The sequence below is a fragment of the Homo sapiens genome, chromosome X (genome assembly GCF_000001405.40).
Source record: "Homo sapiens chromosome X, GRCh38.p14 Primary Assembly".
Classification (NCBI taxonomy): domain Eukaryota; kingdom Metazoa; phylum Chordata; class Mammalia; order Primates; family Hominidae; genus Homo; species Homo sapiens.
The window spans coordinates 77,815,364-77,829,509 of NC_000023.11; the positions used below are offsets into that span (position 1 = coordinate 77,815,364).

A 14,146-nucleotide genomic window follows, 5' to 3' on the forward strand; every position below is an offset into this window, starting at 1 on the left:
ATTTGCCTTTCAATGTTTTCAAGGAATACACTGTGCATAGCTGCTTTTATGCCCTGAGAGTTCTGAGTTAGTCAAAACTAAGGCAATCCTCTTGTGTCATTCCTTCACTCTTATCCCCTCTGCAGACGAATCAAACAGATAAACACAATTTTCTGAGAACAAGGTCTGCTCTGCCCTCTCTGGGACCAGGTACTCACACTGAGAACACAGACTGCCATCTTTCAGACTCCTGCCACACTAAAGTTGGTGGGGGTGAGGCTAAGGGAAAATACCACAAAGCTTTCCTACTGCACTTAAGTCATCATTTTCTTGATTCAGCATTTGTTTGAATCTTTGACTATTTTCTAGAGACTGACAAAGTTGATTCTGACCATCTTTGCTCATTTTTTCATATTTCTATGCAAGAACAGGCCCTTGGAGCTCCTTACTCTTCAATTTTCTTTTTCTTTTTTCTTTTTGAGACAGGCTCTTGCTCTGTTGTCCAGAATGGACTGCAGTAGTACAATCATAGCTCACTGCAGTCTCGAACTCCTGGGCTCAAGTGATCCTCCCACCTTCAGACTCTCAAGTAGCTGAGACTATAGGCACATGCCACCATGCCCAGCTAATTTTCTTATTTTTATTTTTTGTAGAGACTGTCTTCCTATGTTGCCCAGGCTGGTCTCAAACTCATGGCCTCAAGTGATCCTTCTGCCTTGGCCTCCCAAAGCACTGGGATTATAGTTGTGAGCCACTATGCCTGGCTCAAAGAATATTTTTTGATTTAGAGGTTATTTTATTTATTTATTATTTATTTAGAGATTATTCATCATTTAGAGATTGCCATTTAACTTCAGTAAGAGTTCCATTTGCATCTGATGTTTTTTAGTTTTGGAGAAAGGAAATAGTGAAGAAATGGATTCATCTCCAATCCTTTGGACTAAAATTCAGATAATTTAAGCTCTAGTCTCAACTTCATTTAATTTGGAACTGCATGATGTGGTGTCAGATTTGGGTTCAAATCCAGTTGTCTTGCTGTGTAACCTTGGGAAATTTACCCAGCACTTGAGTTGTTTCTTCATTTGTGCAGTGGAGACAATAATACCAAGATGAAGATTTCATGAGATGTCTAGCATAGACAACTCTTTCTCAGACTGGATGCATTTAACAGTTGGATGCTGAATTTATAAGAGTATGGATTTCATAAAAAGAGCATAAATTTCATGATATGATGTATATTCCGGAAGATATAGGCCGGGCGCGGTGGCTCACGCCTGTAATCCCAGCACTTTGGGAAGCTGAGGTGGATCACTTGAGGTCAGGCATTTGAGACCAGCCTGGCCAACATGGTGAAACCCCGTCTCTACAAAAATACAAAAATTAGCCAGGCGTGGTGGTGTGTGCCTGTAATCCCAGCTGCTTGGGAGGCCGAGGCACGAGAATCGCTTGAACCCAGGAGGTGGAAGTTGTGGTGAGCGGATATTGTGCCACTGCACTCCAGCCTGGGTGACAGAGTGAGACTCCATCTCAAAAAAAAAAAAAAAAAAAGAAAAAGAAAAAAAAATAAATTTTCAAGTACCATGTAACTCTTTGAGTATGACTCAGGATATAAATGACTCAGACTTAAGATTTTTAAGTATTGAAATGATACTATATCAATAAAAAAATGTATCTTGGCAGTTTAGCACTTAAAAAAATCTAACTTGTGAACTAATCATCCTTTAAAAATTCATTCTACGGTCACTGAAGCCTTCTCCCTTCCCCTCCTACCTCAAGAAAGTGATCACAACCTTCTCTGTATCCATATTATAACACATATTTTTCCACTAGTGCAGAATATTGCATTTGTTTACATTTGTCTCTACCACCAGACAGAAAGAAACTGAGAGTAAATATCTATTTTTTCGTCTTCATTCAATCAGTGAAAATTTACTGAACATGGGCTGGGCACGGTGGCTCATGCCTGTAATCCCAGCAACTTGAGAGGCCGAGGTGGGCGGGCCACGGGGTCAGGAGTTTGAGACCAGCCTGGCCAACATGGTGAAACCCCATCTCTACTAAAAATACAAAAAATTAGCCGGGCGTGGTGGTGGGCACCTGTAATCCCAGCTACTCGGGAGGCTGAGGCAGGAGAATCACTTGAATCTGGGAAATGGAGGTTGCAGTGAGTCGAGACTGTGCCACTGCACTCCAGCCTGGGAAATAGAGCAAGACTCTATCTCAAAAAAAAAAAAAAAAAAAGAAAAGAAAAGAAAAGAAAAGAAAATTTACTGAACATGTACTATGCAGGCATGTTAGAAAGTGAGCATCTAAAGATGAGTAAGACAGTGCCCCTCTTCTCAAGTGGGAGACGGGACCATTACAAGATGGAGTAACAAAGATGAACATGTACTGAAGAACAGAGGGAGGATATAGAACCCAAACTGGGAAGTCAGGAAAGCTGCCCAGAAGTTATGTTTAAGGTATGTTTGAAGGGGGAGAAAGCATTTCATTAATTTTGTTTGAAAAACATTAAAAAAAAAAAAACCCTTCAGACCCTAAATTCTGTAGCTGCATCTGTTACAGGAAAGGGGTCCCAATCCAGACCCCAAGAGAGTGTTCTTGGATTTTGCTCAAGAAAGAATTCTGGGTGAGTCCGCAGTGCAAAGTAAAAGCAAGTTTATTAAGAAAGTAAAGTGGTGAAAGTACAACTACTACATAGACAGAGTAGGGTGCTCCTGAAAGTAAGAGGAGGAACGTGTCCATGCTAGGTACAATGCTTGTATATATGGGGAGATGTGTTCTGCTACAAGGGTTTGTGATAAAGGATTAATTTTCTTTATATATATGTGTGTATATATATGTGTGTGTGTATATATGTGTATATATATGTGTGTGTATATATGTATGTATATGTGTGTGTGTGTATATATATATATAGAGAGAGAGAGAGAGTGAGAGTGAGTTGGAGTCTTGCTCTGTTGTCTAGGCTGGAGTGTAGTGGCGCAATCTTAGTTCACTGCAACTTCCGCCTCCCAGGTCCAAGTGATTCTATTGTCTCAGCCTCCTGAGTAGCTGGGATTACAGGCACCCACCACCACATCCAGCTAATTTTTGTATTTTTAGTAGAGACAGGATTTCGCCTTGTTGGCCAGGCTGGTCTCAAACTCCTGACCTCAGGTGATCCGCCCACCTAGGCCTCACAAAGTGCTGGGATTACAGGCGTGAGCCACTGCGCCCGGACTTAATTACTGTATTTTGCAAGAATCAATATTATTATCTTTAAAGCAAAATTAGGAATGCCTTTGTTCTCCAGATATCGGGATATCTGGAAACTCCCAAGTCTGGGAGTGCTTAGTAAACATTACTAATTTGTTCCCTTAACCTTAAACATCTAGAGGCTAGGAATGCCTGAGTTTCTGGGAATGCAACCCAGCAAGCCCCAGCCTCATTTTCCTAGCCCTCATTCAAAATGGAGTCGCTCTGGTTCAAACACCTCTGACATATCTCCCCCCTCCCTTTACAAGAGGACCCTTAATCCTAAGGGTTGCAGAAGGACCAAGATCCATATTCTGTAACTTCAGGCTGAATAGGGGCAATGATATTCCTGCTTAAATGTTAGGGTCTCTTGCATTTAGGGTAGAGCGAAGCTCAGTCAGAGAGCATTGGTATGGTGAAGGTCATTCATAACTCCAAGTTCTGACAAAAGGTGATATCTGGAAGATTAATACGTGTCCAATTTAAGAAAGCATTGAATGAGCTTATCTTGCATTCCTACATAAAGAATACAACCGCAATATATTCCACAACAGCAAAGCAAAATAAGTAAAATCATTCCAAGTAAACTAAACAGGAAGGCTGTCCAAGAACTGAGCAGTTGTTGGAACCAAGCCGATATAGGGTCGACTGACATTACATCAATGGCAGATATGAGTGTCTAAAGCTTTCACAGCCTGGGTAATATTATGTGAATAGTCTGGAACATACACACATTTGGTTTTGATCAAAGCATAAAGTCCCCCTTGGGCTGCTGTTAAAATGTCCACATACCCAATAGTTTGATTATATAGAGAAGACAAAGTCTGTGCCCACTCAGTAAATAAGTTACTCGCTCCATGATTCCAACTTAAACCCAAAAGTAGAATGCCAATCCATATCTTTATGTTACCCATCCCTTTCATATCTTCTGAACAGTAGTCGGAGGTCACTGATTGGCTCACAGGAATAAACAGAATCAGTCTCTTGTGTTCTGTCGGCCTATGGGACTTCATAAGAGACAGGTTTAATTCAAGATAGGTGAACTCAGCTGCTTATTCCCAGAAGTTTAACTGCAGTTGGGGCACTAAGGAGAATTTGATAGGGTCCCTTCCATTTTGGGGAAAGTTGATCTGCTGGGGATCCTTCCTTCCAAGTTTATAATAGGACCCAATCTCCCGGCTGAGTTTTAACAAGATTCTCTTCCTTAGTGGGGGAAGGGAGTCTTCGATTTCCATATTCAAGGTGTGCCTTTTGCACTTGCCCTAAGTTGATCACACAATTCTGTAGCTTGAAAGTATCTATATCTATTAGGAAGTCAGTAGTTACGAAAAGCCTTCCATACATTATTTCAAAATGGCTGAGCTGCAGATTTCCCTTAGGGGCCATTCTAGCCTGTAATAAAGCTGTAGGTAATAAAGACAGCCAGGTTTCTGATGTTTCTTGGCATAGTTTAGAAAGAGTCCTTTTTAGGGTTTGATTAACACTTTCTACTTTCCCTAAGACTATGGTCTCCATGCCGAGTGAAGGCGGTACTGAATTCCTAGGGCTGAAGATATGTTTTGGGTAACTGTCGCTGTGAAAGATGGGCCATTATCGCTCTGTAAGCTCTTACGCAGCCCAAATCTAGGAATTATTCCCTTTAGTAGGAGTTCAGAAACGCCTCTGACACATCTACTGGTCACAAAGCCAGGAGCAGGCACGATAAGCTGGAAGGTTTAGACCAAATGGATCATTTCTGAGCCTGGATGTCGGATGGAGCCAACACATCTTAATGAGATTTTCCCAGCTGGAAGTCATTATTTAGGAAGCACTCATTGGAATATATTAATACAAATCATCACTGATGCTGTAGGCAAGGTTTAGCCGAATGTGCTTAAACTATCACCCAAAAGTGGCTGAAGACCATCTCTCAACTTTTCCACCATGAGTCATACTCTATTCAGCTGTATTCATATTTTCAGGACCCACATGAAAGAACAAATACAAGGTGGTGTCAGTGGAGATGTACCAATACAGGTTTGGGGCCCAGGCACTGGTATTAACAAATAATAATTGTAGTAAAATACACATAAAATTTACCATTCTTTTTATTTATTTATATATTTTTTAAGAGATGAGGATCTCACTACACTGCCCAGACTGGAGTGCAGCAGCTATACACATACAGGATCATAGCACACTGCAGCCTTGAACTTCTGGGCTCAAACGATCCTCCTGCCTCAGCCTCCTGAGTGGCTGGGACTAAGATGCAAACCACTGTGCTCAGCTTAATCATTTTAAAATATATATTCATTATTGTTAAGTGCATTCACATTGTTGTGCAACCAATTTCTAGAACTCTTTTCATCTTGCAAAACTGAAACTCTATACCCATTAAACAACACCCCAATCCCCCTTCTCCCCAGCCCCTGGCAACCACCTTTCTTCTTTCTGTTCCTATGAATTTGACTACTCTAGGTACCTAATATAAGTGGAATCATACAGTATTTGTTTTTGTGACTGGCTTATTTCACTTAGCATCATGTCCTCAAGGTTCTTCCATGTTGCAGAATGAACTTTCTTCCTCTTTAAGGCTGAATAATGTCCCATTGTAGGTATATACCACATTTTGTTTATCTGTTCATCCGTGGATGGACACTTGGGTTGCTTCTACTTTTTGGCTATTGTGAATAATGCTACTATGAACATGAGTGTACAAGTATCTTTTCAAGTCCCTGCTTTCAATTCCTTTGAACATATACCCTAAAGTGGAATTGGTGGACTCTATGGTAATTTGATTTTTAATTTTTTGAGGCAATTCTAGACTGTTTTCTATGGTGGCTACACCAATTTACATTTCCACCAACGGTACACAAGGGTTACAATTTCTTTATATCCTTGCCAACATTTTTTTTGTTTGTTTGTTTTAGAGACAGGTATTGCTCTGTTGCTCAGGCTGGAGTGCAGTGGCGTGATCATAGCTCACTGTAACCTCAAACTCCTGGGCCAAGCGATCCTCCTGCCTCAGCCTCCTGAGTAGCTAGGACTACAGGTGACTGGTTTTTTGATAGTAGCCATCCTAATGGTATGAGGTGGTATCTCATTCTGGTTTTGATTTGCATTTCCCTTATTATTAGTGACAGGCAGTCATAATTAACTCCTTTATTATGCACAGGCCAAGTTGAGAACACAGAGTTTAAGGGATGTACAAACACAAACTTCTGAACAGTAATCTCTAGGCGATTGTTCCTGCCTCTCTTCTAAATAAAAGTCTGTCTCTGTGATGATTTTTTTTATTATTATACTTTAAGTTCTGGGGTACATGTGCAGAACGCGCAGGTTTGTTACATAGGTATACATGTGCCATGGTGGTTTGCTGCACCCATCAACCCGTCATCTACATTAGGTATTTCTCCCAATGCTATCCCTCCCCCAACCCCTCACCCCCCAGCAGGCCCCGGTGTGTGATGTTCCCCTCCCTGTGTCCATGTGTTCTCATTGTTCAACTCCCACTTAGCAGTGAGAACATGCAGTGTTTGGTTTTCTGTTCCTGTGTTAGTTTGCTGAGAATGATGGTTTCCAGCTTCATCCATGTCCCTGCAAAGGACATGAACTGATCCTTTTTTATGGCTGCATAGTATTCCATGGTGTATATGTGCCACATTTTCCTTATCTAGTCTATCATTGATGGGCATTTGGGTTAGTTCCAAGTCTTTGCCATTTCTTTAAGAATGTTGAATATTGGCCCCCACTCTCTTCTGGCTTGTAGGGTTTCTGCTGAGAGATCCACTGTTAGTCTGATGGGCTTCCCTTTGTGGGTAACCCGACCTTTCTCTCTGGCTGCCCTTAACATTTTTTTCATTTCAACCTTGGTGAATCTGACAATTATGTTTCTTGGGGTTGCTCTTCTCGAGGAATATCTTTGTGGTGTTCTCTATATTTCCTGAATTTGAATGTTGGTCTGCCTTGCTAGGTTGGGGAAGTTCTCCTGGATAATATCTTGAAGAGTGTTTTCCAACTTGGTTCCATTCTCCCCGTCGCTTTCAGGTACACCAATCAAATGTAGATTTGGTCTTTTCACATAGTCCCATATTTCTTGGAGGCTTTGTTCATTTCTTTTCACTCTTTTTTTCTCTAATCTTGTCTTCCTGCTTTATTTCATTGAGTTGATCTTCAATCTCTGATATCCTTTCTTCCACTTGATCGATTCGGCTATTGATACTTGTGTATGCTTCATGAAGTTCCTGTGCTGTGTTTTTCAGCGCCATCAGGTCATTTATGTTCTTCTCTAAACATAAATACAACATGAAGCTCCTTTAGCTCGGAGGAGTTTGTCTTTACCTGCCTTCTGAAGCCTACTTCTGTCAATTCATCAAACTCATTCTCCGTCCAGTTTTGTTCCCTTGCTGGTGAGGAGTTGTGACCCTTTGGAAGAGAAGAGGTGTTCTGGTTTTTGGAGTTTTCAGCCTTTTTGCGCTGGTTTCTCTCCATCTTCGTGGATTTATCTACCTTCGGTCTTTGATGTTGGTGATGTTGATACTATTCCTGTTTGTTAGTTTTCCTTCTAACAGTCAGGCCCCTCTGCTGCAGGTCTGCTGGAGTCTGCTGGAGGTCCACTCCACACCCTGCTTGCCTGGGTATCACTAGAGGAGGCTCAGTTGGAAATGCAGGAATCACCTGCCTTCTGCGTTGATCTCGCTGGGAGCTGCAGACCAGAGCTGTTCCTATTTGGCCATCTTGCCAGCTACCTCCCTCTGTGATGACTGAGTGTCAACTTGATTGGATTGAAGGATGCAAAGTATTGTTCCTGAGTGTGTCTGTGAGGGTGTTGCCAAAGGAGATTTAACATTTGAGTCAGTGGACTGGGAGAGGTAGACCCACCCTCAATCTGGGTGGGCACCATTTAATCTGCTCTCAGCATGGCTAGGATAAATGCAGGCGGAACGTGGAAAGACTTCACTTGCTGAGTCTTCTGGCCTTCATCTTTCTCCCGTGCTGGATGCTTCCTGCCCTGGAACATTGGACTCCAAGTTCTTCAGCTTTTAGACTCTTGGACTTACACCAGTGGTTTGCCAGGAGCTGTTGGGCCTTCGGCCACACCGAAGGCTGCACTGTTGGCTTCCCCACTTTTGAGGTTTTGGGACATGGGCTGACTTCCTTGCTCCTCCTCAGCTTGCAGATGGTCTATTGTGGGACTTCGCCTTTTGATTGTGTGAGTCAATATTCCTTAATAAACTCCCCCACTCTTTTTTTTTTTTTTTTTTTTGAGACAGAGTCTTGCTCTGCTGCCCAGGCTGGAGTGCAATGGCTCAATCTTGGCTCACTGCAATCTCCGCCCCCCGGGTTCAAGCGATTTCTCCTGCCTCAGCCTCTCCTGTAATCCTGGGATTACAGGTGCATGCCACCATGCCCGGCTAATTTTTGTATTTTTAGTAGAGATAGGGTTTCATGTTGGCCAGGCTGGTGTTGAACTCCTGGCCTCAAAGTGATCCACCCACTTGGGCCTCCCAAAGTGCTGGGATTATAGGTGTGAGCCACTGTGCCCAGCCTAAACTCCCCTTCATATACACATCTATCCTATTAGTTCTGTTCCTCTACAGAACCCTAATATACAGTCTCCCCACCTAAATTCTACATTCACAGATTAAAGGTAGATTAAACTCCTTCCTCTTTAGGAAGTCTGCTCAGCTCCTCTAGGGAAATCTCTCTCTCATTAGGACTCTTCTCCAGGCAATCTAGATGTCAGGAAGCAAACCTAGTGAGCACAAACTACAGCAGGGGTGTCCAATCTTCTGGCTTCCCTGGGCCACATTGGAAGAATTGTCTTGGGCTACCCATTAAGTACCCTAACACTAATGATAGCTGATGGGCTAAAAAATAATCAGAAAAAAACTCATAATGTTTTAATTAAGTTTATGAATTTGTGTTGGGCTGCATTCAAAGCCATCCTGGGTTGCATGCGGCCCATGGGCTGAGGGTTGGATAAGCTTGAACTACAGTATGGTTTCCAAGCGTCAAGGGAGTAATTTGCATCTACACTTGAAATGTAATCCATAGGGAATTTGCAGCTAAAGAGGAAACCTGTAGGTACTTCCCTGGAATAAACTTCAGTAAATTGCTTCACTTTTCTATGGCAGGTTTCTTCAGCAGTCAAAATGAAGGGGCTGATTTAAATGGTATCTAAGATCCTTTTGGCTTTGACTTTCTGTTGTAACAGCATACTATTACAGTTGCTGATCTCATTCTTGCTCAGAATTGGGCAGAACCCATGTAAATCAAGACCTCGAGGTTGGGCGCGGTGGCTCACTCCTGTAATCCCAGCATTTTGGGAGGGCGAGACAGGTGGATCACCCGAGGTCAGGAGTTTGAGACCAGGCTTGTCAACATGGTGAAACCGTCTCTACTAAAAATACAAGAATTAGCCAGGCGTGGGGTGGTGTTTGCCTGTAGTCCAAGCTACTCGGGAGGCTGAGACATGAGAATCGCTTGAACTCGGGAGGTGGAGGCTGCAGGGAGCCGAGATTGCCCCACTGCACTTCAGCCTGCGTGACAATGCGAGACTGCGTCTCAAAAAAAAAAAAATCTTATTAACATATGGGTTCCGATATGGTTTGGATCTTTGTCCCCACCCAAATCTCACGTTCAATTGTAATTCCCAATGATGGAGGTGGGGCCTGGTGGGAAATGACTGGATGGGGGCAGGTTTCTCATGAATGGTTTAGTACCATCCCTTTGGTACTGTCCTTGTGATAGTGAGTTATCGCGAGATCTGGTCATTGAAAAGTGTCTGCCAACTCCCCTCACCTTTTTGCTCCTGCTCTGGCCATGTGATGTGCTTGCTCCCCCTTTGCCTTCCACCATGATTGTAAGTTTCCTGAAGCTTCCCCAAAAGCTGAGCAGATGCCAGCATCATGTTTCCTGTACACCCTGCAGAACTGTGAGCCAATTAAACCTCTTTTCTTTATAAAGTACCCAATCTCAGGTATTTCTTTAGAGCAATGCAATAACGGTCTAATAGAGTTCCAAGTGCATCCTTTCCAAAAAATATTTCAATGCATATTAAGCAATTTGTAGTTATAATGGCCTCCACCAGCATTTCCTAGCTTCTTCAGAAATCTGACTGCAGAATATCCTCCATTTCAATTGATTTTAATTCAGCACCAAATCTGGATATAAAAATATTATCTATTCAAATTTAAGTGCATCTTTAATATTTTGCATAATAGAACAATAGAGCAGGAAGGACTACTAAGGTAATTTAGCCTAATACACTTTACTTAGTATAAAGAAATATGTTCAGAGAGGTTCAGGTGACACCTATGGTCATATAGTTAGACAGAAACAGAGCAAGGGCTAAAAGCCAGATCTCTTTACTTCCTGTGCAGTGTTTCTACTCCATGTTTGCAAAAGAGCTGCTGTCTAGTTTCATATAACTTATAATCTGCCAGGGTAACTTTCAAATCAAGTTTTTATTATCAAAAGGAAATTACCTAGTCAAGGAATGTTCACTGTCTGGGACGAAAGGTAGATCAATTGTTGCAAACAGTCATTTATCTACTCATCTTGGTTGTTTTGACTCACCTAATGGGTAACAACATTAAGAATGAGGGACCATGTATAGATTCCTAGAATAATATATCCCAATCCAGAAATACTTAAAGAAACTGTCCCATCAAACTGTCCTTAGGACAATATGAAATTTAAATTAATTTAATTATAACTTCAAAATGTAAAATCCTAATTTTACAATTCTAGTTTAGTGTTTAAAACTCACTCCTCTTTAGATGGTAATCAAAAACTCAGAATTTAGATTGTAAAAGTTTATTGATATGGTCAAAAAGCAAACAGCCAGACATTTGGTTATCTTTGCCACTACAATGTGTCATTCTGAACTGTATCTTAAAAATGCATAACAAATGATATTTAAACCATTACCAGAAAAGTAAATGAAGAGTCTACTTAAGGCACTTCATATGAAAGCTAATTCAAAATTTTCACAAAAGTCACACTATTTTATAAGTGTAGTAAATTACCTTCTACACATTTTAGCCAGAATGCTGCCTTTCTCCTTACAGAAGAATGTGCTCTTAAAGGGAGAAAAAGCAAATACAAAAAATTGTCATTCTGTCAATGTTCATGACAAATTATCTGGAACTATACAGATTACATGGCAGTAGTATTCCCGTGGTCAATCTGTACAAATCAGGGCATCTTCATACAAGTCTCATAAGAACCACAGCATAGATTTGGCCTGAGACAAGTACAAGAATAGCAGGTAAGGAATTCAGAATCTCACAATTTACAAGTGAGTAATTAACAAAAACTGGCTGCTCCATTAAAAAGTAAAAGGTCAACCATATCCCCTCATCCATGAAATCTAGTAACGAAAAACAAAAAACCCACATAAAATATTTCTTCTGAGGCTACTATATCCATCTCTTTCTGCAAACCACATGGCAGGGTTATTAGAAGGTAAATGGCAGGTGGCAGTCATAGTATCTTTTTAATGTAATACTTGTAAGATTTCCTTAAAATTATTTTTTCACAATTACAATTATCCTATTTCCACAATAGTGGCATTTCAGGTTACTCTTCATAACTATGGGGGAGGTTATAGTTAGATATAATGATAACCATGAAAACATTCTTCACAGAAATTTGGTTAGCACATATGGTTATTTCTACTGACAGAAACCAAAAGACAAAATAAAAAAAATCCCTTCAAATTGGTACTTTGTTTCTCCACCTAAAGGAAGAGAATAAAGACTAAAATAACAGCAAAACATAGAACAGCTTTCGAGAAACGCTTAATTTCTATATACAGGCATCAGCTCAATATTTTATGATTTTTCTTTCCCATTCTAAGGGAGTCCTTTTCTTTCTTACTTTTTTTTTTTTTTTTGAGATGGAGTCTCGCTCTGTTGCCAGGCTGGAGTGCAGTGGTGTGATCTTGGCTCACTGAAACCTCCATCTCCTGAGTTCAAGTGATTCTCGTGCCTCAGCCTCCTGTGTAGCTGGGATTACAGGCTCCTGCCACCACACCCAGCTAATTTTTATATTTTTAGTAGAGACGGGGTTTCACCATGTTGGCCAGGATGGTCTCGAACTCCTGACCTCGTGATCTGCCTGCCTTGGCCTCCCAAAGTGCTGAGATTACAGGCGTAAGTCACTGCGCCTGGCCAGGGAGTCCTTTTCTAACTGAGCCTATTTTTCTCTTAGGTACAAATGGAATAAGTGACAAACTCTAATTTGTAGAAACATTTTAGGCCATGTATAAGTTACACTGATTTTAGCACTAAGCTATATTTTTATCACAGATGGGTCACCTTAAAAGAAAACTAAGGAGATGGAATGAATCTGAAATCTTTCTAAATACAAGGTAGTTAACACCATACTCAAGCAGAAATTATAATCCTGTATTTAGAGATACTTTTTTTTGAGACAGAGTCTCACTCTATCACTCAGGCTGGAGCGCAGTAGCGTGATCTCGGCTCACTGCAATCTCCGCCTCCCAGGTATTAAGCAAGTCTCGTGCCTCAGCCTCCCAAGTAGCTAGGATTATAGGCATGAGCCACCAAGCCCAGCTAATTTTCATATTTTTAGTAGAGACGGGGTTTTGCCTTGTTGGCCAGGCTGGTCTCTAACTCCTGGCCTCAAGCAATCCACCTGCCTCGGACTCCCAATAGATGTCTTTTCATGTTCACAGCTATCGAGAAGCATAGACATTGCTGGTGTGGTAGCTCACACATGTCATCCTCGCACTTTGGGAGACTGAGGCGGGCGGATCACTTGAGCCCAGGAGTTCAAGACCAGCCTGGACAACTTGGCGAAACCCTGTCTCTACTAAAAACACAAAAATTAGCCTGGCATGGCGGTGCACACCTGTAAATCCCAGCTACTTGGGAAGCTGTGACAGGAGAATCGCTTAAACCTGGGAGGCAGAGTTTGCAGTCAGCCGAGCTCACGCCACTGCACTCCAGCCTGTGTGACACAGCGAGACCGTCTCAAAAAAACAACAAAACAAAAACAATCATAGACAGCACTGTATTTCAGTAGGAAATATGCAAGGAGGAGGAGAAACAACTGTCTTGCTGAGGGCTAGACGTGTGCTCTGAAGAATGGTGTTCCATTTTCAGAAGACCACATGACACACATAATTTCTCTACTCAAAAGGAAAGATGCGTAAAGTATACACATCCACACAAAGATGAAGAAGCTAAGAATGAATTCCTAATGTAGTTATCTGTAACAGGCATATGTGGGAACACCTGGTCAGGACTTACTTTCCCCATCTTTGGATAAGGCAATATAAAATCAGATGACCAAGTTAACTAAAGTAGTTTTGAGCTTTGTTCTAACTAAAACAAAGTAGTAGTTTTACAATTTTTATAATATACTTAATTGTACTAAATTAAATGTTCCATAAAGTTCACTGGGAAGAGAAGGTTAAGAGGATAATTATTTTCAAATACCTCAGATTTTGACAGAGGATTGCTTGTTAAGGCACTACACATCTTCTTTGGTTAAATGATTAACTATTTAAATCACTTGAAAAAAAGAGGTAATACAAAATATACAAGTTGCATTCTTCTTTTCAAACACACACGATTTTCGTTTTTCAATTTCCAGTACTCCAGTGTCTATATATCTCTGGGACCTTTTTAACTCATCAGAAAGCTGAAACAAAAATATATTCCAATCTATTAGTCTCTGAAAGAAAAGTAGGATTTACTTTTAATCAATAAGCAGTATGTTGGTTTTAACAGATAAAAGAGCATTTTGGTACGTACATGATAATCTTTGGGTATCAATAACAAAAAGTGAGAAACACTGAGAGACCCGTTAGTCTTATGACAAAAGGAAATAGAATAACCTCAAGTTAAAATATCTCCTGAATAGAGACACTAATTAATAATTTTATTTTTTCATTTTTTTAGAGATGGGGTCTCAC

General features: G+C 41.0%; 1 protein-coding gene across 2 annotated transcripts in view; it reads right to left on the minus strand.

Annotated features, from left to right (window-relative positions):
• MAGT1 (magnesium transporter 1) overlaps window positions 10,384–14,146 on the minus strand; it is a 69,822-nt gene continuing 66,059 nt past the window's right edge. The window contains exon 10 of one of the 2 annotated variants that reach the window (NM_001367916.1): window positions 10,384–13,872. In NM_001367916.1, the coding sequence (NP_001354845.1) occupies window positions 13,857–13,872 (16 nt within the window). In that variant the 3' untranslated portion in view covers window positions 10,384–13,856. The remainder of the gene's footprint in view (window positions 13,873–14,146) is intronic. The other variant, NM_032121.5, reaches the window with a different exon arrangement.